Raw genomic sequence first — 24,749 nt, forward strand, 5'->3', positions numbered from 1 at the left:
ATTTCCTTGAAGATGGAAGCAATGGTTTTAGCTTATTCAATCTTCCCATAGCACCCAGTATGGGTCCTGCCATTCAGTGAAAATTCAGTATGTGTTTCACTGCCAAAGATAAATTAATAACATCACACGCTCCAATTATACCTGGAAAGCCTTAAGATTTAGTCTTCCCTATAAAAAAATTCTTGACAAATTAGCTGAAACTGTCATTCACTTGTTTCTCTTGTTTTATAGCCTTGTGGGTTATTCTACTGAATGTTGTGATTTTTTCTACCACTGGTTGATTTGTCTTGTTTTGCTCTCTTGCCTCCTCGACTAGACTGTAAGCCTCTGGAGCACAAGGACTTTGTCTGGTAAACACAACTTGATGTATAACAGATGTTTGCTAAATGTTAGATTTGTAATAAATGGAATTTAACTGGAAAAAAACACTTTTATGCTTACTTACTTAAAATTACTTAAAGTGGCATAGAGATTCCTTATTTTACCTATTTGAAAAAGACTGGGGCTAGCCAGCTCTAAAGCAAACAGAGGAAGAGAGAAAGAAAGGGGAGATAGGATTCTTTGACTCACATGTCCTTGATCATCCAACTCATTGTTGGTAAGCTTGAGTTTGTCAAAACTGACCACCTGTCTCATCCAGGTGTCTCCAGAAGCTAGAGAATCAGGGTGTATATAAACTCTTGGGGGCACAGGGGAATCAGCATTGCCAGCCACCATCCACTTGGAGCTATGATACACATATCTGAGATAAAGAGGAAGAGAGGAAAATTCAGAGACAGAGGCAGAGAAGGGACAGAGGCCCAGGAAACAAGTTGAGACAGGGGAAAGGAGAGAAAAACAAAGAGATTACATGAATGGAGAAGTAATGGGAAAGAAACAGAGACTCAAAGGAGGAAAAGAGAAGGGCAGATAACCAGGGAAATGAAATAGAGATAGAAATGGACAAAAAGATGGAGTGGGGAGGGCAGAGAAGTGTTGTGGTTAATGATCAAATCTTCAGCCCTCGCAAGGAAAACATTCTCACAGCCGTCTTCCTTTCTTCCCTCTCTCCATGCCGTGCACCCCTGTGTGCACACATGCATCCTGAACTCACATGTCTAGCTATAGAAAAGGCATTTTACTGCAACCTTTCACCTTTCAAATGCAAACCATATAATCCCTTGGCCATTTGTTCAGGATTTTGTTCCTTATTAAAAACATCTTCCATATTGTCCTATAAAATGCAGCCATGTGCAGAGCCCTCCCAAGCCTCTCACTGGTTAACCATTTCCTTGCTAAGAATCTGGACTTTGAGGCATTTCTATGACGGGCCTTTGCCTCTCTGCAACCATTTCAGAAGCACCACCAAATACTCCCAGTTCACATTGCCTTTGATGAACCCGTTTTGAACACCATCTTCTACACTATTTTCCCACAAAGTCACTGGAAAAAAGACATTGTTTGGTAGCAAAGGAAGTCAGTTTTCCCGACTTTGCCAATTTTCTCATAGCTCAGAAGAAACATCTCCATGGATCTGGTACTTTCCTGCTTCTCAGTTCTAAAGGACCACATGGGACCTGGACCCTGAGAAATAGAGGCACCCAGTCCAAATCACAACTCCCAAGATCCCCTAAAACACGCTGGAAGCATCTTTTCTCCTAAGTCCTGAAATCCAGACCGTGTCTCTCTCAGCCATCTCTCTCCCCACTTGCCATACTAGTCCTGGCCTTTTTCATCAGCTCTTGCCTCCCTATTCATGGGTTTAGGGCCAAGTTGTTAGACTTCAGATATTTCAAAAATGAGTAATGATTTACTGATTTGAGTGAGACCTCAAGAGAAGAAATAAGCCACAACTTTTTTTTTTTCTGGCAAGAACTATGTATAAGCCATCCAAGAGACATGGAGACTATGTTGGCTTTTAATCAGTTTGAGGGAAAATTACTTAACAATCTCACTCACAACCCATATCAATGAATAATAATTCTCCATAAGTAGATATTCTTCTTGAAATTTTACCCAGTTCTCTTGTTCTTCCTCTCCATCATCTATGGGGCGATCCATCAAATATACATTTTAATATGCCTTATTGTTCCACCTCTCCTTCCTCTTTCCAAAATAAATCACCCCAATTTATTTAGCATTTCACAAACCAAATTATTCAATATGTTAATCACTTCCAATGTTAATTAAATTAATTTTAGACTTAAGATCCACTTGATTTTTGCTACCTTAGGAGACACTATACAATCCCATTCTATCCAGAGACACAGGGGGGAATCCCAGGTCAAAGTTAACACTTTTTCCACCTGGTGCTCTGCCACAGGCCATTGACATAGTCTCCATTCCTTGTTCTCTGTACAGCATGCATTGCTAAACTATTTCCTCTAAGGAGTTTGAAGAATTGTCTTGGAATGCTGGTGATACCCACATTTCCACATCCCAGAGTTATTGTTACCTGTATCTTTTATTGTCCACAGGCACAATGTCCATTGCTATGTAGTACTGCTGATGTGGATCTAGGCCAGTGATTTTCACTCTCATGGCAGGAAACATCCTCCTATGAAGATGAATAAAACAGAAAGCTCAGAAATCAGGGTGGGAGAAGTAGCAGGGGTAAAAGCTTAAACAATGTGGGTTTTTTTGTTTGTTTGTTTTCTTGTTTGTTTTTTGAGATGGAGTCTCGCTCTGTCACCCAGGCTGGAGTGCAGTAGCACAATCTTGGCTCACTGCCACCTCCACCTCCCGAGTTCAAGGGATTCTTCTGCCTTAGCCTCCCGAGTAGCTGGGACTACAGGCATGAGCCACCACGCCCAGCTAATTTGTGTGTGTGTGTGTGTGTGTGTGTGTGTTTAGTAGAGATGGGGTTTCACCATATTAGCCAGGCTGATCTCGAACTCCTGACCTCGTGATCTGCCCACCTCGGCCTCCCAAAGTACTGAGATTACAGGTGTGAGCCAATGCACCCAGCCTAAACAACGTATTCTTATTAGGTACTCTAAGCATATCAAATTCTAATGTCCTCTAATTCTCAAAGTTGACTAATTTTTTTCACTTTGGAAATTATCACTATGAAATATACAATAGACTTATACTACTGAACTACTATCTCTTCTTAACTTAAATTGACCTATTTGATGATTCATACTCTCCAAGGGTTCAACCCTGCTTTGTATTTTTAGTTAATCTTAGTTGTGATATAAATGTATGCACAGGCATGTGTGTGCATGTGTGTAGCCATGCATACATTTCCTATTAGCTATAATCTTTTTAAAGGTTAGTATAGCAACTTACACTCTTCTTATAATCTGAAGAGCTTTTCAGTTTATTGCAAGTTATCATAAAATATTTTCAACTGAGTTTATTTGAAAATAACCACTCTAAAAATAGTCTCTCAAGTGTAAAAGAAAAAAAGGAAGGTGCTACCAGTCTCCAAACAAAGAGCCACCAAGATTTTTTAGTGCATAAAACTGTAGAAAATTTTCTGCAAGTTCTCAGGCTGTCAACGTGTGTGTCAGAGGAAGGACCCTGTGGAATTGGAAGCAAATACCAAATGAATTCTCGTGGCCTCTGGGCAATACCTTGTTTCTACCACAATGGCTTGTTAAACTTGCCAAAGCAAGTGAGGTCAGGATATAGCACTTTACGACTTCTCTCATAATTGAAGAGAGGAGGAGACAGAGCAGCCCAAAAGAGGTATTGAGTTTCAATAAGTCTAGAATAAAGTTCACCATTCTTCTTTAACCATAAGAAAGAAGAAAAACATCAAGCTCAAGCTCTTTTGTATCAAGCCGGACATAAAAAGTTCTCAGTTCAAAAATTTGGATTGCCCTGAATGTGCTCTAGGCTACTTGTATGCAAAATGCTGCATTAAGCTTAACCATCTGGGGCTAGTTAGTTGAGCTGGGCAGAGCACAGTGCTAATGAGGTCAAGGTCACAGGCTTGATCCACATATGGCCTAATTGGCTTTGCTCCATTTCATGGCCATAGACCATACCCTGACCTCAAACAGCCATCTTGCAAATATGTACTGGTTGGTCACAGGAGAGGCTCTCTGTGCTAGTTACACACTCACTACTCATCCAGGAGAAGCAACCCAAAAGGCTAATATCCCCTGGCAGTAGGTCAGTGACATCATAATCATATCTGAGAGAAAGCACAAGAAGGATCACAGTCCTTTAATAGAGATGGTGGCTAATTCTTATATGGTTACAAAATTAATGCATAACTATTTCATCTTTCTCACCTTATTACTCTTCAGAAGCTTCTAGGATATATTATCATTTAAAAATTTCTCCCCCTACCTCACAATTTTTATTTAAAGGCCTCATACTTTTGTCTTATGGTGGGCTAATGAAATTTGATGATGGGATACTCACATTGACTAAATCTAACATTCACTATAGGTTAGGCACTTTAATTTGCATTAATTAATTCCAAAAATTTGGGAAACTTGATCTACACATTTAAATACAGATAAGTAATTCCCTTCTTAATAACACTGATTTATAGCTTCCCTGTATATGTAAATGTTTGGAGGGCATCTTGCCAGAGATGGGGCAAAAGTCCTCTCATTTACTACCTGAGATAAGAAAATATGGTTTCCCCCAGTCACCTAGAGAGGCTGTATTACACGAAAGAGAGAGATTTCTTTTATTCATACCTTTACAAAAAAAGGTGTTAGATGTTTTTAATTCAATATCTGTTCTGTCTGGAACCATTATATGACCTTTAATGGAGAAGCTACCCATCCCTTTCCAGTACCTGACTTCTAAAATAAATGAACTATGTGACTTTGGATAAATCATTTAACCCCATCACCTATAAAACAAAGGAAATCGACTAGATAATCTCTACAGTGCCCCCTTGCTTTAAAATTCTGTGACTACCTTTGAATTCTCTTCTTAAAAACTTCGCAAGCCTTTTTTTTCTTTTTGTCACATTTTAGCATAGAATATCAAGTGAAGTCACAACAGTCTAAAGAAAAGTTAACCTTTCATGTTTTACAAAAAGAGATGTGTTTGGTTTTAATTTTATGGCTAAATTTAGGCCAGTTCTTTTGTCTTCTAAACCCATTAATCCTTGCAAGCACCTCTGTCCATGGTGCTGATTATGCAGGTTGGGTTGGTACACTCAAAGACTGAGGGCTCTATAGACTTCAGCAGCTCTGAATCAATAGGATCACAGTTTGGGGTGTGGAAGGAGGTAGATGGTGACTAAGATCATCTAAGTAAGAAAAAGGAGAGAAAGCCATATATAACTAACATAATTAAGAAGATGGAGATTGGAATTAAAATGGAAAAGAATACTGACAATACTGCATAGCAAGAAAAATGAGTGAGAAGCAAGAAATTAACCAGGAGAATGAGAAGGAATGAAGAAAATTCACAGAAGAGAAAGCCTTATTTGTATGATTCAGAGTTGTTTCAGAATTACCTGAGAAGAATTAGATGTAGTAACAACAGTTGAGACAACTGAATACAGAACCAATTAATGTAGTTTCTAAACTTAAACAAAGGATTTCAATTATTACTAAAGAACAAACTATGTGTCTGTCTTGGGGAATGTGTAGAGTATCCAGATATTAAGGTGAACTTGTGAAATCAGGGATATGGAAATGAAAATACTGCAGAAGAATTACAAAATGAGTCACAAGAAGGTTGTCAAGGAGATGCTCAAATGAACTCAATTCACTAAAGCACAGGGAATAACGAAGTGATATCAGGAACAAACATGACTGGAATACAGAGACCCAAGAGTAATAAAGTAAAAACCCAAAAAGAATACCGGAAAATCTTATAGACAAAAAAAAAATGTAATATTTCTTCTCTCTCCAAACCAACTCTTCTACCAAAAACTTTAAAAAAATTTCCTTGAGTTACTTTGTTTTCTTCCAAGCCTTTACACCACAAAATGTGGAACAGAAGTACACTGAGACCCAAGCAACGAAAAAGAGATGATATTGAACACAGTTATCCAGCCCATCTTCTCCCCCTAGGAAGCCTTTAATGGTTTTATTCACTACTGAGAGAAGGAAGAGAGCTCCAGAAAAGAAAGAAAATAAACAAAATTTCAGATTTATTTTAACTTCATGTTTTTGTCATATCTTATTGTTTTGGGAGGTTTCCTTATATACACGTAGATAAACTGGACCCAACCAAAATATTATTTTACTTTAAATGGCTATGTTCATGAAAACAGCTCACAATCAGTAAGATGCGATTTTTGTTCCCCATGACATGTGAGATTATGTACACTGGCTTTGAAAACACAAAAGTAGCATAACTGTTTTGCTTAATTTCAATGAACTATTCCTATATGCTGAAAAGCTTAGTCCAAATGTATTTATTTATTTATTTGTTTGTTTATTTATTTATTTTTGAGACAGAGTCTTGCTCTCTCACCCAGGGTGGAGTGCAACGGCACGATCTTGGCTCACTGCAACCTCCGCCTCCCAGCTTCAAGCGATTCTCCTGCCTCAGCCTCCCAAGTGGCAGGGATTACAGGCACCCATCACCACATCCAGGTAATTTTTGTAACTTTAAAAGAGACAGGGTTTTGCCATGTTGGCCAGGCTTGTCTCGAACTCCTGACCTTAGGTGATCCACCCACCTTGGCCTCCCAAAATGCTGGGATCACAGGCGTGAGCCACCGTGCCCGGCCCAAATTTAATTTTATCTAAATCGTTTCATTTTGAATCCAAGGGGCAAGAACTACAGCCATTTCTTCACAGTTCAGAGTTGAGACCACTGTTTTAGAGCCACACAGATTTATGCAGAATTCTGGAGCTGCCTCTTAGTACCCATGTGCCTTAGCCAAGCTAATTAATGTCTTTCATCCTCTGCATCCTAATCCATATATGGGATGATTATGTCCAACCTCATAGGGTTCCTGTAAGTTTCAAAGATGTATGTTGAGTGTCCAGCACAAAATAAATACTTAACTATGGAAAGTTGAAACATACCAATAAAGGAGTAGCTTAACTAAAAGTGTCTATATCAAGAGAAGCTGTGTTTTTAAAATTTTGTAATCCTAGAAAAACAGTTTTACAAGAAATTCCATAGGTCACCAATAAAGTTGTGTAATAATTTCAAGTCAATGATAAAACACAATGGACATCAACAGGCTCAGAATATGCATCAAGTCAATTCTTTTTTAAAAATTACTACAAAAGCATTGTTGCTTTAAATACTTTAGAAGATGCAAGTTGTTATTTGGGAAGCAAACTTCTTGAAAGTATTTAATGGTGAAGTAAACACTTGCTTTGGAAATATATATTTTGGCTGTTAAGATCCCATGGACTTCCAATATTAGCTGAAATACATTTGTAGGTGGAAAATGTTTGTGATTTACATGACTTACATTTGATTGGCCCTTGGAGGAAAATAATACAATCACAACAAACACAACAGAACAACTTTACCAAGATGTCCAAATGCAGAGAAGTGAGTGCAAGCTGCTTTGGTTTTGTTGATGCCATCACAAATAAATAAGAATGGAAGAATGTAATGGCTCCTACTTCTGCAAATTCTTTGAATCTGGCCACTCAAAGGAATTTGTCCTTACCTGCCTGCTTTGGTGATGATCATTTCAGTTCCAATATCATGGAACCGCTTCCAGAGGTCAGCACATTGCAGCTCCACCTGAATCTCCTCCATGGAAGACATGGCAGCAGGCACAGGGCCTGCAGCACCAGAGGCCAGGTCAGTGTGAGTACTGAAGGAGCAGGAAGTCCGCTCAGTGAGGACCTCAGAATCTGAACCAGTGCTCTGCTCAGAATCTGCAAAATAAACAATCAAGCCTTAGGTGAGAAACTGCTGAGCTCCCCTCACCCATGGCCCTAAAAGATGGGGGTGGGAAATGCAATGAAGTGGGGAGAGGGGTAAACAAAAGGAGACTTAAAGCTGGGAAGCTCCAGAGCACAGCACTCAGGGTATTTTATTATTTTTTATGGTTTGTTTTTGTGATTTATGACCTTCTTTCAGGTTTCGTGTTTCCAACATGACATCTGGCATTTTAGTAAGTTTTAGCAACAGCTGAAGAAAATTGGTCCACAACAGGCAATATAAATAGTACTAATGTCACCATGTTGAAGAGAATGAGGCCAAACTGGGGCAACAAAATAAATGCCATATTAAACTAAAATAATTATAAATTACAGGTCCAAACCTAGATTAGACTATTACATTTGTGCAAGTAAAGATTCAGTGCAAACATTATGTTCTTCAATTCCATACCACTCAGCATCACTGCCTGTCAGTTATTTTTAAACACAGAAATTTTTCCTCTACTTACATAAGCCATGGCCATCAAAAGTAATGAAAAGCTGCTTGGGATCTTTAGAAGTACTTTGTCATATATTTGAGTAAATGGTTTTTCCTAAGAGTCTAATCAGGCCATTTTGGATGGGAAAAAAACCTCTGTTGTGAGTCAAGGATGTAAGCATATGGAAAAAGTTACCCAAAAAGGCAGTTGAAACAAAGGGAATAAATGAGTTCAGGAGACACCTTGATTGGTTTCTGAAGTATGGGCAGAGGGGAGGGGTGATCCAAACAGGAAGGTGGGATTGAGAGCAACCAAATAAAAAGTTGGCATGCTGGTCCAGATGGTCCTTTCCTGTGTCTTCTGTACTCATGAAGACAAGTGGGGCTGGGGGGCAGGGGAAGCTGACTGATGGAGAAGGCTAGAGCCAGATTTACCCGGGAAGATTTACTGGAATTTTAAATATTTACCTTTAGGAGCTTAATGCCAAGAATTGTGTGTCCTAACATTTTTCAAATTCAGATTATCTAGTATAATTTTCTTAGGTCAAATGATGCTGCAAGTCAAGCCTAAGAATCCATTTCTCTAACCCACCCTTAACATCTAGAATTCTGATTGCTTTCCTTGGAGTTAAATATATTCATGAGTAAAGGCTGGAAACAAGTGTTGTACTCTGATGAGTGACTTTTCAATGGTGTCAAGGGTCAGAGCTTCTTGAGCATCAATCCTTGACACTAGTAAGATGGAAAAGAATGGGACAGAATGCCCAATCACGTTGCTGCCAACCTCACTTACCTGCAGCAGGTTTGCAGACCTGTGAAAGATACACCCCATTGTTCCTTTACTTTTCTTTCCTTTTGTCACTGACTTTTTTCTCTTGCAACCCCAGGCAGCATCTCTGGCAAGAATATCTAACAGCTGTGTCAAAGCCACAGGGAATAAAGTGCCCACAGGGGAAAAAGTGTCATTTCTCTCCATCTCCCTAATTCCTCACCTGTCACTTGTGAAGATATTCAGGTTGTTAAAGAACCAAATCAAACTTCTAAATAAAGGGGAAGTTTCTGACCAAAAACTTCAGTTTACCCATAATCACTACATGAAGATGTAGTCACTATCTTCATTCTCCCTCCCCCTCTGCCCCCCACCCACAAAAAAAAAAAACTATAAAGTTTTATAACTAGGTTTTACATGTCTAAGCACATAATTTTATACCTAGGACTAAGTAGCAGCTATTTTTGGTCTTCTCCAAGCACTGAAAAGTAGAACTACTTATCTAAGATGACAGCTGTTGCTGAGTGACAAATCTATATCCTAGCCTGATTCTATAGGCCTTTCAGTAGCAGAGCCATTATATCATCACACACTCAGCCAAACACACTAATTCATGTCCCCTGAGACATGGATTCCCAAATCCTATTTTGTGTCTGGGATATTTTAAGAGCTCCTCACTTATCATGAATACTGTAAATTTTTCAAAAAACCTCCTCAGAAAAAGATTTTTAAAATATATTATTGTCCTGCTTTTGGAAGCAAAAAGTTACAAAATTCACCATAAAGTGCCACAATTACAAAAAATTGGAAAGAGACACCTTAAGTAGGACCCAACAGAAATTTTGGACATATGATTTCTCCAATGTATGTTTAGGAACTGGAAAAGGGAAGGAAAGGTATCACTACACTAAGAGATAAGTATTAATGGTAGCTAAATTGAGGCTGAGATTGGAATTGGGACTACGGCTAGAGAATTATGAAATAAGAGACTCTACCCTTAACTCAGTATGTCATCTGGAACAAAACAGGGACTCAAAATGTAACATCAAATGAATTAATGAATAACCTTAGACAAGCCATTTAACCACAGGGGGGGCCTAGGTCCTCAATGTGCAATGAAAAAGAATGAACTTAAGGATTACACCTCTAATGACCTGAATGTAAGAATCCTCCCCAGTGCAAGTGCTAACCCAGGTAACCTCAATTAGAAACATCAAATTTAAAACTCTTTGAACAAGACAAGTTAAATAAGGGAAAAGACCGGGGGCTCAGATTCACATTACCATAGGAGTTAAATAATTGAGTGGGTATTCTATAAGGGTTTATAGTTTCAATCAAATCAATCAATAAGCACCTATCAGCATATGGCCTTAGATGAAGTACCATGCAGATAATTAGAAACAGAATCCAAGACCTTAAGAAATTTCCCAGTTAGTGTTGATTAATTATGTGTTTATTGAGTGCTTACTATGTGCCCAGCACTGTGCTAGATTCTGGGAAATAACAAAGTACACAATGGGACCTCTCTTCAAGTACAGTACAGTGGAGACTATGAGCATTCAAAAATAATCAGAGAGCAACACAAATAACTGCCACACAGTTTTCCACACCATTACATACTGTCTCAGATGTCTCTTAGAAGTCCAGAAGAGAAAGAGATCCAAGAGGGCTAGAACACTCCTGGGGAACCCATTGTTACTAGAAAGGAAATGGGCAAGTCTGTGGAGGCATAGGCAGTATTTGTCCATGAAGAGGATTTTCAAAGACATTTATTTAACTGGAAATACCCTGAACTTCTAGATTTTCACTCTCTCACAAAACAGGATCCAGTGACTTTTATATAAAGAATGTAAGCAACAGCCCACATGTTCAATAACATGAATGCATATGCAATCTTCTATTCTCAATTGTTTCTTAAATATTATAATCTTGAAATAAAGTTACTGTTACTTTTATAGATGCTCTTTTTAAAAAGCTTCTAGAAGGGTTAGGGCCACCCGTGGGGTAAGCAACCCTACAAAACCCTTAAAATAGTAATCTCAGAGTCAAGATTAACAGCCTAGGTAAAAATAAAATTTAATCTTTTGTAAAATACATTTCTAAATCATAGTTATAGAAAATATTTTGGCTAACCAGATCAAAATTTTTAGCTATTAATTAGGATGTATAATAAAGTTATCTAAGTCATGGAAGAAACACACAGCTGGTTATTTTAATCAAATCAGATCATCCATTTAGAAATATAATCAGTCAGTCCCTTAAAGATCAAAAAACACCTCTGTGTTTTCAAGGTCATTTATTCTTGGCAATTTGTGACTTCCTGTCCTCAAAAAATAGCCATTAGGAACTCATATGAATGATGCAGGATTTCTTGGCTATCAGATACTGTCAGAATAGTATTTCAACAGAAGAAGTTTAAGTAAATCAGGAACATAAAATGTTACATGTAACCAAGGCAGCTAAAGGAGAAAACTTAAGTAACCTGCGCTGAGCCAGTTACAAGTCACTAGAGAACATTTTGTGACTCACAGGGCCAAAGCAACATATCTATTCTCATCCCCCCAAAAAAATCCTTTAAAAAGATATTTTAACCATCATTTTACTTTCTATCTCTGACCTATTTCACTTTGATAAAATGAATGCTGTAACACTAAGTTCCCACAGAAAGTTGAGTTTAGCTTAAAGTACGTTCACTTCTCACTCTAGCAATAATAATAAAAGAACTTTTAATTTATGTTTTACACATTACCTAATATTGTCTTCCCATTGATAAGATAGACATAGCTTGTATTTTTATGTCTATTTTGTGGACAAGGACACTGAAACAAGAGAAATTGAAAACTAACATGTACTAGAATGCACATCTTCTCCATCCTGATCCAATGGTCAGATCTCCCCAAAAGCACACTAGGTTCAACCCAGCCAAAACAGCTGGCAACTCTGTAACACCCCCTAACTATTTTAACCATCCTCACAACTAAGGTGGCTTAAATATGTTTGATCTTGGCCAAGTCACATGACTATTCTGGTCCCCAATTTCCTTAATCCTTATGGCACAGCACATGCACATTTAATTGGAAGTGTATAAGGTCCCTTTTAACTTGAATGTCTAATGGGTGGATTAGTAGTACAGCTTAGAGACCACCAAGTCTAACAAAAGCGAACCAACTACAATAGGTTCATTTGGTTACCATACATAGAAAATGCCTAAATTGCATACACTTTTAGTCTAATAAAAACTTAATATCCAAATTAGACATTTTAAAAGCATATTTTACAGTCTTGGCATCTCCACTTAACAGTTAATTTTGAGGAATTATTCGTTACTGCAGTGAACAAAGCACATTTACTCCTGTGGCTCTGCTACTGATCAGCAGTGGGATCTTTAAAAGTTTCTTTGGTTCACTTGGCCTAAGTTTCCTTATCTTTACCATGGGGGGTGGGGGTATAAGATATCTTTCTGCTAAAAAAAGTTATATATTTATGATAAAGCATAGTGTAATGGTTCTATTGATAATAATATTATTGACTTGGGACAGGGAGATGAATATAAGCTCACAAGAACTAACACAAAGAGTTAATGGTCAACATTATTGAGCTCTTACTATTTGTCAGGCACTCTGCCAAGACTGTACATGCAAAACATCACTTAGTACAGGCAAGCCTAAGAGTTGTTATTATTATTATCTCCATTTTATACATTATTGATGCCAGAGTCCAGGTTACATCCATTCTACTGCCTAAGGATGTCCAGCACAGAAGACTACATTTAATTCAATTTTTATGTCACCAAATATTTCTGCTTTGCCTTGACTAGGTTACATATTAATGGACCAAGACAAATAAAACAGGTTCTTGTTCTGAAGGAGCTCACAATTTGGTAGAAAGGACATAGAAACTGTTAAGGAAGGCTGACTGTGACAGATACGCCTGCAGAGGTGGGGAAAATTGTTGAGGAGCTTTGAAGTGGAAGCAAGTCAATGATGAGAGGATTGAGAAGACTTTATGAGGTAACATTTGAATATGGTCTTGAAATAGAAGTTTGAAACCAACAAACAACAAAATGATGGAGAAAGAATTTCAGGTAGTGGGAATAACAGTGATTAAGGATTTGGAGTTTCAGAGAATTACAAACAAACTGGTATGTCAGAGTTTAGATTATGTAAAGGTAGAGGAGAAGTAAGATAAATGATGAAGGTGGAAGGTCAGGTTCAACTCAACTAAATGACTACATATTGAACATTTACTATGTGCCAGTCACTCTTCTAAACTCTTGGGACATCAGGGAACAAACAAAAATTTATGGCTGAAGATCTTGGGTGTCAGGATATGGAGTTTAGACTTTATCATCTACATGCTAAAGTTTTCTTTAACGTGCAGGTAGTGATAGTTCTGTCTTCTATCCAGACTATGAATTCCATAAGCTCAGTTTAATGCTTTGCCCCATCTCATGTGTGAATGATGCAAGATAGCCTGGTTTCTATGTGAAATGTGTAAGCTGACTGTAGAGTCAGATAAGAGATGTAGAATGCTCTGAGATTAGATGCACAGTGTTACTTCTGTAAGACTGGAGCTCAGCTGTCATATTTTCCACAAGGAAGAAAATAGTTTGAAACAATTAAAGGAGAAAAACCCAACCCGGATGATAGACAATTCATCTTACTTTCTTTTCTGCCAAATACTGGTACACAACCACATTGAATGGTGTTTCCTATCTGATAGTGGTAGGACAGCCACTTCTTGATCTAGTTCATAAATCACAAAGTCTCTAAAACCAAAACTCTCATGACTATCTCAGGGCTCCCATTCACAGAAGGGCAAATACCAGAATCTTAAAACCCAGGCAGCCCTGTCTGTACCAGGAGCAAGTAAGTTCCTATTTCCAGAGGACCTCTGCAGTGGAAATTGGTTGTGGGCTATCAGATTTTATCGAGTATCTTAGAGAATGCTGGTGACGAAATTTTTCATAGAGTAACTCTAAATATGGCAGAAGCAGAGCATTTGGCACTGACCTGAGTACGAACTGAGCCCAAATTTGATACTCAGTCCAGAGCTTCAAGGGAATGAACTATAACCCGGGATGGATTAAACTAAAATTATGATGATAGCAAACACTCAAATGAGCCTGTTAAATGGCTTTAGTAATGGAATGGTGTCTCTGAGCTCTCCATGCCCTCCAAGTTCTATTTGGGAAAAGGGAGTAACCTGAAGCTTGCAATTCCCATGCCAATAAGCCAATTAAGGAGACTAAGGGCACATCATATCTCACCAACTGCCTACAGCACTCTCCACTTAACAAGCAGCACCTCTCTCAGCGATACATAGAACCACAGCAAGGACCCAAAGTCATCCTGAGAACAAAGCCTTTGAGAGAGTCTTTGCAAAGAAGTGGTAGTAGTAATTTTTTATATCTGTTTCTTGCTGAGCAGACAAAGGCTCAATGCCATTAAAGTTTCAACCTCTGTTTTAAGTTATTTGAAAAAGATTCAGATTGCTCTCCACAGTGGCTGGATTAATTTGCATTCCCACCAACAGTGTATAAGTATTCCCTTTTCTCCACAGCCTTGCTAGCATTTGTTTTCTTCTCTTTCTAATAATAGCCATTCTGACTGGTGTGAGATAGTACCTCATTGTGACTTTGATTTGCATTTCTCTGTTGATTAGTGATGCTCAGGGTTTTTTCCTATGTTTATTGTCCACTTGTATGTCTTCTTTTGAGAAGTGTCTGTTCACGTCCTTTGTCCATTTTTAATGGGGTTGCTTTTTGCTTATTGATTTGTTTACATTCCCTATAGATTCTGTATATTAGGCATTTAACCAAAAAGACACATGCATTTGTATGTTCATTGCTGTACTATTCAAAATAGCAAAGATATGGCATCAACCCAGGTGCCTATCAATAGTAGATTGGATAAAGAAAATGTGGTACATATATACCATGGCATACTATGCGACCATAAAAAAGAATGAAATCATGTCCTTCGCAGCAACATGGATGCAGCTGGAGGCCATAATCCTAAGTGAATTAACGCAGGAGCAGGCCAGGCCTAATGGCTCATGCCTATAATCTTAGCACTTTGGAAAGCTGACGCAGGCAGATCGCTTGAGCCCAGGAGTTTGAGACCAGCCTGGGCAACATGGCAAAGCCCTATCCCTACTAAAAATCCAAAAATTAGCCAGGCATGATGGCACGTGCCTGTAGTCCTAGCTACTTGGAAGACTGAGATGGGAGGATCACCTGAGCCTGGGAAGGTCGAGGCTGCAGTGAGCTGTGATGGCATCACTGTACTCCAGCCAGGGCAACAGAATGAGATCTAGTCTCAAAAAAAAAAAAAAAAAAAAAAAAAAAAACAAAAACAGGAACAGAAAACCAAATATCTCATGTTCTTTTATAAGTGAGAGCTAAACATTTAGCACACATGGACATAAATACAGGAACAACAGACACTGAAGACTGCTAGATGGTGGAAGAGGGAGGCATGGGTTGAAAAAGTACCTATAGGGTACTGTGCTCACTACCTGCGTGATGGGATTCATACCCTAAACCTCAGCATCACGCAATATTCCCATGTAACAAACCTGCACAGGTATCCCCTAGATCTAAAATAAAAGTTAAAATTGTTTAAAGTTGAAATTTCAAGTATAAGGTGAAATTATAAAAAAACTTTGCTTTAGCCTAGAACAATATGCAAAAGTTTCAACCTCTAGTGATCCAGCATGCTTTGAAGCTGGAAATGAAAAAAAGGAAGAGAAGTAGCAAGTACTGTATTAGGCACTTTATGTACGTTATTATCTCATACAATTTTCACAGAAACCTTTAAAGTAGGCATTATTGCTGCCATTTTATATATAAGAAACCTGAGGCATGACATGAATAAAAGGCTTGTCTCACATTATATAAATGGGAGGTGTCAGAGTGTGAATTGAATTAGTCTGACACTAGAGTTGATGCTCTTTTCATTATACTCTGTTGCCCATTTTTCAGAACTAGAACTGCAGAGCTGTGCACATCCTACTCTGAACTCAGAAATGCAGAGTTAACGCTCAGGCTGCTCAATCAGAAGGTAGCGCTACAGAAATTAAAACTGTCGGTTTTTTGAGAAAGGAAAATTCAAACGAAGGTCTGATGGGAATTTTCCCCTGTTAGTACAAGGGCAGTTATATTCAGGAATATTTTAGCTCTCTTCATCAACTTAACATTATTTAGTAAGTAAGTACAACTATAAAAGGCCTCTTTTGCTATATTTCACTTCCTATCCCCAATCCAACCTAGGTAGAAGATCCAAATGTGACAGACACTGAAGATCACTGTCAATGTCAAATCACCCTTTTGCTTTAGCCTAGACCATTAAGCAAAACATTACAAGGTACTTGGAAGATGTTTGGGCTTTGAGAAATTTTTAATGGAAGCATTGAAAGACAGAAGGCAACTGAAGTGGGCCCTACTTGTGCAGAATTTGGTTTATTTAGGCTTAACTCAAGTCAGAGTGCAGGACCCAAAAGTTTTTGATGGTCCTAAGTGGATATCTATGTTTGAAGAGAATTCAGCTGATAATAATGTATATGAAAGCACTTCATAAACAGTAAAGTGTCAAATTAACATATAAGATTCTACGCCAATGACCAAGCATATCAGAAAAACAAAAAAAAATAAATAAAGGACAAATATGGGCCCCGACTTTTCTAAAACAGTCCTAATTTCAAATTTCAAATATTTTATTTTATTCTTCCCACAAAATTAATATTTATGAGACCAACTTTTGGGTTAGAAAATATTCGTGATGAACACACAGACAGTGCATAAATGGAATAATCAAAAATTGGCCACAAGCCACATGGAAATGTTCAACCTAAGTACCTCTTGCACCAAAGGTCCTTCAAAAGTTCATTCTGATAAACTGGGTGGTCTTCAAGATTTACCAATTTCAGGTGAGCAGCTATCAACACAGGCCCCATCCTAAGGCTCTTGGCATTTTTCCTGGGTGAAGCGATACATTATCTCATCCCCAAGTCAATGTTTATTTGCTCTTTGCAACCACCACTTCCAACCTCCCACCACCACCTCCGACATCAGCCACTGTCATAGCACCATTGTGTATCTGCCATTATGGTCTTTTAATTTCTATGATGTGAAAAGTGGGCCTTTCTCCAAAGGCCTTACAAGCATTTGCTTTATACCTTGTTAGAATGTTCCCACTGAGCACCAATAAATAAACAAATTCATGATGACGCACTAAAGGGGAAGAACTAAGAAGCCAATTTCTAAACATCAAGTGTAATTTAACTATGACTTCTGGAGAGAGTGCCTCTGGAGGTGGCAGTTTCAAAGATGTAAGTAGGATAAACATTTGAGCACAGCCAGGAATGCCCTTCAAATGATCCCAGGAGACCACCAACTATTCCAAGTTTAAAATCTACCCAACTCACCATGCAAACATAGAAAACCATCCCGTTTAGTAAATATAACATGGCTGACAACAATGTAACAACCTCTCCAGTAATCAAAATTCATCCATTCAATCAATCATTCATTCGTTCAGCAAATAATATTCATTTTCTAGGCTGGGCCTGGCAATGTACGAGGTGTTATTAGGGGCACAAAATTGAGTAAGAGATGATCCATGTCCTCAGGAGCTTATACAATCATTTAGGGAGAGAGGATAGGTCCATAAATAAGTCTAATAAAAGTAGAATAGTCAAAATCCACCATAGCACACAGCATGCTGGGGCTTAGGATCCAAAAGACTGAGTTCTTGAGCTCATCTCTCCTCTTTCCAACCATCTAACCTTAAGCAAGTCACTTAACTTCTTAAGCCTTTGTTTTATCATTTGTAAAATGAGGATATCATTGGTATCTACTTTGTGAAACTTTTATGAACTATTAACAAGGTGCCTGTGTATGTGTATTTGCATTAATACTTCATCAACAAAAAAGGTCCAGACATACGAATGCTAATTTTCAGATATTATTATCTAAGAGAAATGGCAACAAAATCCTATGGGAGTTTAGAGGTAAGAGAAATCTCTCCAAGTCCAGGGATTTTTTCTGGGCCTAATGAAGATATGTCTGTGAGATGCAAAGGCAGAAATGGGGAAGAAAGAGAGGGGTTTCTAGGAAAAGGGAATTTTCTGGCAGAGGCGTGGCAATAAAATCTACCAAATGTATTTAGAGGGCAGCAATCTATGTCATCCTGACCACATCTGTGTTATTCCTCTTGTATCCTCAGCACCTGGAACAGTGTCTGGCACCTATTATGCACTCAATAAAATGTTTTCGTTGAATGAATTAATGAATGAAATGCTGTAGGTTTAGCAAAGTAAGAGAAGAGATATAGCCAGAGAAGATCTGGGAGGGTAGGCTGGAGCCAGATGAAGAATCTTGAATGCTATTCTTCTCATCTTCTTCCAGGAGACAAATATATCCCTAGTAATGAGGTGTCTTAATTGCATGACATGTTCCCAATGAAATCCCTATTAAGTCCTAGGGTCACCTCCTGACATCATAACCTGAACTATTGGAATCCTACCAGCTTTTCCTTGCATGACTGTGAGCTGTGTCAAACTGAGTGGCGAGGTCTGACCCGAAATCTTTCAGGGGTTTCAACTGAGTTCAAAGAGTTCAGTCACTTCTGTGAGAAGCAGTCAGTCAAACACCTAGAAAATACTCAGATACTAACTCTCCTCCACATTAACCTAAGAAGAGAAGGTGCTTACAGTCATGAGGATAAAATGGGGAAAGGATCAAGTTCTACAAATGCTAGAGCTAGTAATGCTAAGGGAGAGGTAGTGAGACAGATATCCTCCTCCTTCAGGAACAGAATGACTGCTGTGCTCACCAGGTCCCCTACACATCTGGTGTCTCTGTTGTCTGCAGTGAAGTGGGGTTTCCAGAGTCGCTAAGAAGTAAGGCAAAAGATTACAAACCTCCTTTAGAATTCCACAGACCCAGATTATGACTGGGAAAGCTGCTTAACCTTTCTGAGCCAATTTCTTCATCTAAAATGGAGATAGTGGATACCATGTGTCTCAGTGAAGCCCCTGGCGCACAATAGGAATATACTTAATATAAATTGTTTCCATCATTTGGAACAGAAAATGACCATATGCGTTAAGTCTTTTCTCAGTCACTTCCCTGTCCCTATGAGAGAGACAGAAAGAAGACTTTCAAATGAATAAATGCAAACCTCACTAAAGAAAATGTAAAATATAGAATGGGAAAAGATCACATGATGAAGAAAATATTTCAGGGCCTAGGGCAAAACTATCAAAACTGAATGGTGTTAGGAGAAATGGTGGAAAGGCAGAAAGAGGGAAAAGCAGAAGAAACAACGAAAATGCCATGTAAGGAAGCCTGCTTTTGAGTGGGTCTGCTTGAGTGATGCTCTCTTGGTCCATAATGGCTGGCACAATATCTGAGAAAGAAAGTGATAAGGTCTAAAAGAAGAGAGAAAAGGGTAGATCACTAAGAAAAGAGGTATATTGGGTCTTCAGTAAGGAAAATGGGCCAGGGAGCAAACTCTCACCTTGAACAGAGAAGCAGAGATAGCAACTGAGGCTGAAAAAGCTGCCCAAAGGCATTGTTCCATGAGAGGTGGAAATGACAGGGCAGAGCTTGGAAGCTGCAGGAAGCCCTGACTCCAGATGGATAGCCTTGTCAGAAACACTCACCTGGCTCAGGATAAGGAAAACACACTGAGGAGGCAGAAAAAAATCTAGTACCTAGGTGAGGCTCCCAGGGAGCACGAGCAGGAGGCCTGAAAGGTAGGCATTTTAACCCTATTTTGAGACTTATACAAGGGAACATGCCCAGTGCCACCCACCCAGAAATATTAGAGAGAACAAATGCACCCAAGTCTCTCCCATTTCAAAACTTCACCTCATCCACCATCCCACACCACCTTCAGAAACCCTAAAATCAAATGCTTTGATGGCAGAAAGAAGTTCACTTTTGGGGCACAAGGCAATCATTGAGAGTGAAATCATTGAGTGTTTTTATATTTACAACTCAACAAACCCAGATTAAGATGCTTGCAAAACTTAGAATCCCACCCTCACATCCCAACTTCCCAGACCCTCCAGGAAAAGTCTTCCTCCCAAGTCTCTCCTGTCTTTCTTTTTCCTCTAAAGCTCTTCCCAAAAGGGAATGAGTCATCAAAGGATGCTAACCCCAGGATGGATTTTTTATGATGGCCAAGAAAAGGAGGGTGGGGTGAGGTAAGGAATTGCCTTACACTGTCTTCTGTGTAGAAGGCTGATTTGGGAATCGCAAAGTGAACATGTTATTCTTAACTCCATTCCCGACTCCTTGAGTCATCCTCACCATGTCACTTAATTCCACTCATTCCATGGTCAACATCTTGGCTTCAACAAGGCTCTATTTTTCCCCAGGCCTACCTACCTTGAAGGGTCAGAATGACCCTTGAAGAGACAGTGTCCTTCAAGTGTGTCAGCAATTCAGAAACTGACAGCTTCCAAAATAGCTGGTGTGTTGTTGAGTGTCTGTTGCCTTCTGAAAGAGTGGCAGTGTCGCCGAGACAGCAGGATTTCCTTGCCAAAGTTGCTCCTACCCTCCTCCCCACAAGACTCTGCCCTGCCTCTCCCTGTCCCTGCCTAGGAAGACTTTGAGCCCAGGGGCCATGGCATTTAAGCACTGTCAGAGTTCCCACTTCAATTCCCACAGTGGTGCCAGTTCAGCATCTGTCATGATGACCCAGCCTGAACTGTATTTAGAAGCTTGGACATGGCACCATGTTCCAGCACATCTCACAGTGACAGGAGATTTCCTGAGCACCTGGGCTTGCGATTCGAGCACTCCTCTTCCCAGGGAATGGGGGTCAAAATGACTTTCCTCTGATGACCTGTTTCCTTCTTAGGATGGTGTCCTTCTGTTGGAGGCCTCTTCTCAGAGTCAATCTCCATCAATGCTATTACACAATGCTGTTTAAAAATCCATACTTTTTAGAAAGCTTGCAATACGTAGCAGGGGAAAGAGAGGAGAATAGGAAAGTCAATCAGAAAATGGGTTTAGTACTCTGTTCATGGACTATTCTTACAAAGATAAATTTCCCTGAAAACATAGCCTGGGAGTGTTCAGAACCTACCAGACATTGCCAGTGAATTGAGAGAGCCTGTCTATTTCACAACTAAGTGGGACAGTGTATAAGAATTCATTTCATCTTTTTGGCAGCATTTATTCCAGTCTTTAAAGCAGCATACTACAGTCCCCCCAAAATTGTAAGTTAACTCTGATTAGTGGTTAAAAATTAAGTCCATTTATTTACATATTCACATTAATCTCCACCTAGACAGGCAGACTGATAATTGTATAACACTAATCAGGTGGGCTGTAAGTTTTGAGGGTTACTGCACACAGAGCAGGTCTAGGTCCTCAATCTGATAGGTCACAGGAGAAAGAAAGGCTTTTTCTCAATTGACCCCAAACTCTCTACCCCACTGTCCCTAACCAGAGCTCCATGGAGACACCCTGTCATTTAAAAGGCATCAACGTTTGGCCTCTCCCATTCCTGGGCAAGAACCCAACACTCAGAGAATGTGGTTTTAGGATCATGGCATCTAATCCATTCAAGGATTATTTTCCCCCCCTACTGTTCAGATGGGTGTGTTAATCATCACCTCTCTTTGTTCTGTAATAAATTCAACCCTGGCTAATTCCAAGCCTCTATGCATCACTGGAGTTTAAAGATGGCATTTTGACAGGTCAGATATTCAGAGTCAATGGTCCACCAACCAGTCAAAAATCCTTAAGTACTTTTAGGAACATGTGGAAGTAATTTTTTCCAAGAATTTACAAGTCTGGAGGATGGGATCTTATTGATGGTGTATGAGCTGTTGTATATATTAAAGTATTACTTTATATACATATTCTACATATAATCAACATTGATGTATGAGTGAAGGCAGATTTCCCTTTTTATACCAAGTACTACACAAGTATTATCAAATGCAAATTACAATAAAGTATACAATATATAGCATCTTTAAAAAAATAAGACTACAGTAAAACTATAAGTGAATGTGCAATGAGTACAAGTTTAAAATACAAATGCTATAGGCTAGGAAATTTCATAGATATCAGAATATTTTATATGACACTTGCTATACTTGTACATTTTAACTACAGTCATAGTTTGAGATGAATATTTTTATAAAGAAAAAATTTATTATATAAAATATTGACTTCTAATTATTTAAATGAAGAGGTTATTAACCTAAAGTCAATGGACAAGCTTTGGAGGTTTACAAGTCACCTAAAATGATAAGTTAAATTTGCAAAAGCTTGTGTGCTTTTCTGGGGCAAGGATGCATGGGATTTATGAGATTCTCAAAGGAATCTATGACTTTAAAAGGCCTTAAGGACTACACTGGTTTGATAGGTTTTCTTCAAGTGTAATAAACATCCATCTTTCCAAGCTCTATTCTGCTGTAACAAAATGCTTTTTCCCTCAGCCAGATATTTACAATGAAAAAGATTCAAAAGAATATGACACAGATTACTAATGGTGCATCTTAATAAAAATATATTTTATCTTTATTATGAAGAGGAAGGGATTGTGTTTCTCTATGTAGTAATGAGTATTAAAATGGCCACCTGAGACCATCTTGCTTTCTCTGTATGATTCCCTATTTTCCATTGATCTTTATTTTAACCACACATACACATATATATAAGTTGGATAAATTATAATCCATATTCACCTACTTACTTGGGGAAAGTAGATGAATTATAAATTATTTTTGAGTGAATGAAAACGTGGCTTTTCCTTTGGTCTTGCTGCTTTTACTCTGGTTCTCTTTTCCCCTATCTCCCAGGAAAACATTAGTGGCACAGGAACCCCAAGCTTACCAGGTTCTTTCTCCTTATGTGTGCCAAAAGTCTGCACAGCAAGTCTGCTGTTGCGGGACTTGCAGTCCAATCCCCTCACTGGGGATGTGCTCTTAGGCAGTGGTCCCTGTATCTCAGAAGAAATCCCTCCACCTCATGTCCTCTAAGGCAATGTCTGCATCTGGCACTGGGGTTGAGAGGCAGCTCCACAGGGAAAGCTGGACACAGTGAGTAAGTGAGGCTGCCCCAGGTAGGCCTGCCAAGGCTTTCCTAAAGGCCATGGCAATGGAGCCTGCCCATGAGAAGAACATTTTGGTGAGCTCAGTTTGTCTGCTACCAAGAACCTCCTGGTCCTCCCAGCTAAACATCTATTTTTACCACACTGTGACACTGAAGACTCTGCTGTCATTAAAGTGAATAATAAATACAGTCAACTGCATTATTTGTCATTTTATGGTGAAAGGAACTCTGGATTCAGAATCAGAAGGTAGGAGTGTTAGTCCTGGTTTGGAATCAGAAAGCAAGAGTGTGAGTCCTGATTCTGACTCTACCTAGAGATATGATCTTGAGGAGCCATTTAACCCTGTGGTGCCTCAGTTGACACATCTGTGAGAAGTGGAGAAGGAATCCTACTGCTTACGCAACTCAATGAGGCACCAGCAAAATAAAACAATGCAGAGGAAAGCACTTTGTAAATTATAAAGTGCCATATAAAAATGTAACTTATCAGCATTACATTTAATCATTCACCCTGCAGAGATTTCTCAATGTGCTCTAAATACCATGCTTAATCCATACTTGCAGTGCCCATTAGAGATGAGGAAACTGAGACTCGGTGAAGCAAAGTGGTGAAGTGAGAAGACCTGCTTGCTGAGAGCCTGGGTTCTCTCCTCAAACTGGTCCATGCCTCCCCCAGCAGCAGTACTTCATTTACTCTTGCTGAGCAACTATTGCCTCATTTTTAAAATGGAGACGTTAACTGCTTGCTCCTATGAGACAAAGATCTAGACAAAATGACCTACCCAGCATCTTGTTCCATGATCTGTGATTCTGCAAAATGCGAGCAAGGTCATGAGTTATCTTGTGGTGGTAGGGAACTAGCAGCCAAGTGTGCTGACCAATGGACCCCATTTGTTCTTTTGGTTTCTGAAGCATAGCATCTGACCATCTCCCCAGTGGTGACTCAGTGAAGAGTCACAGTACAGTCAGGGTCTCTATTATGCTAAGTGCCTTTTCCTATATTCTGATTCTCTGTTAAGAGACATACGTAGCAACTTTTCACTGATCAAGCAAAATAACCCATTTTATAATGGGGGCAGACAGATAACATCTTTAAAAGGTCAGTTTACAGTCCACACCGAGAGATTGGCTCTATCACATATCCTCTTACACAGAGGCCACTAGGCTGCAGGATAATTAGTATGGCCAAATTGCTCTAATTATTTTCAGCAAAAGAAGGCTTTGCTCAATCCAATGGCAAAATGTTCCAGGGACTGGTCCTGTGGGATTCTGAGACCACCAGCAGAGCTGGCCTTCTGCTCCCTCCTAAAACAAAAGCTAGTCCCAAAGAAACCTCAGGTTTTACATAAAGTTGCTCAACTTCTCTAGGGTCCAACCTGCCTGGCTCTTTTCCCCTCTGGGCCTCAGTGCAATTCTTCTCTCAAAGCATACCTCACTTTGCCTTTACCCCACAGAGTCACTGTTGTGGCAGGACTCAATGTTTGCAACTGTTTTTCAACTTCACAAAGAAACACCTAGTAAAAGATCTTGCTATTGATTCTCATTTCTCAAAATGATCTTGTGAAACATGCTGCTTGTTGCCTCAGAGAAAGTGACTTTTCTTCCCTCCAGAAAGACCCTACCATGGTTTGAGTTGTGATTACACATCTGAATTCA

General features: G+C 39.1%; 1 protein-coding gene across 8 annotated transcripts in view, besides 1 other annotated feature; it reads right to left on the minus strand.

Moving 5' to 3' along the window:
* Nucleotides 1-24,749, minus strand: part of TBX15 (T-box transcription factor 15) — a 106,464-nt gene that overhangs the window by 41,029 nt on the left and 40,686 nt on the right. For 7 of the 8 annotated variants that reach the window (NM_152380.3, XM_047429138.1, XM_047429131.1 and 4 more), the window contains 3 exons: nt 7,544-7,757; nt 2,435-2,536; nt 571-742 (listed from right to left, as the gene is read on the minus strand). In NM_152380.3, coding sequence (NP_689593.2) covers nt 571-742; nt 2,435-2,536; nt 7,544-7,644 — 375 coding nt within the window. In that variant the 5' untranslated portion in view covers nt 7,645-7,757. Of the gene's footprint in view, nt 1-570; nt 743-2,434; nt 2,537-7,543; nt 7,758-20,408; nt 20,629-24,749 lie in introns of those variants that run through there. The other variant, XM_047429137.1, reaches the window with a different exon arrangement.
* Nucleotides 4,891-5,185: a silencer, noted in NCBI's record as "tiled region #5383; HepG2 Repressive non-DNase unmatched - State 13:Ctcf, and K562 Repressive DNase matched - State 10:DNaseD". NCBI's record gives its function as "represses a minimal TATA promoter and a strong SV40 promoter by Sharpr-MPRA in HepG2 and K562 cells {active_cell/tissue: HepG2 | K562}" and the evidence as "EXISTENCE:reporter gene assay evidence [ECO:0000049][PMID:27701403]".

The sequence above is a fragment of the Homo sapiens genome, chromosome 1 (genome assembly GCF_000001405.40).
Source record: "Homo sapiens chromosome 1, GRCh38.p14 Primary Assembly".
Lineage (NCBI taxonomy): Eukaryota > Metazoa > Chordata > Mammalia > Primates > Hominidae > Homo > Homo sapiens.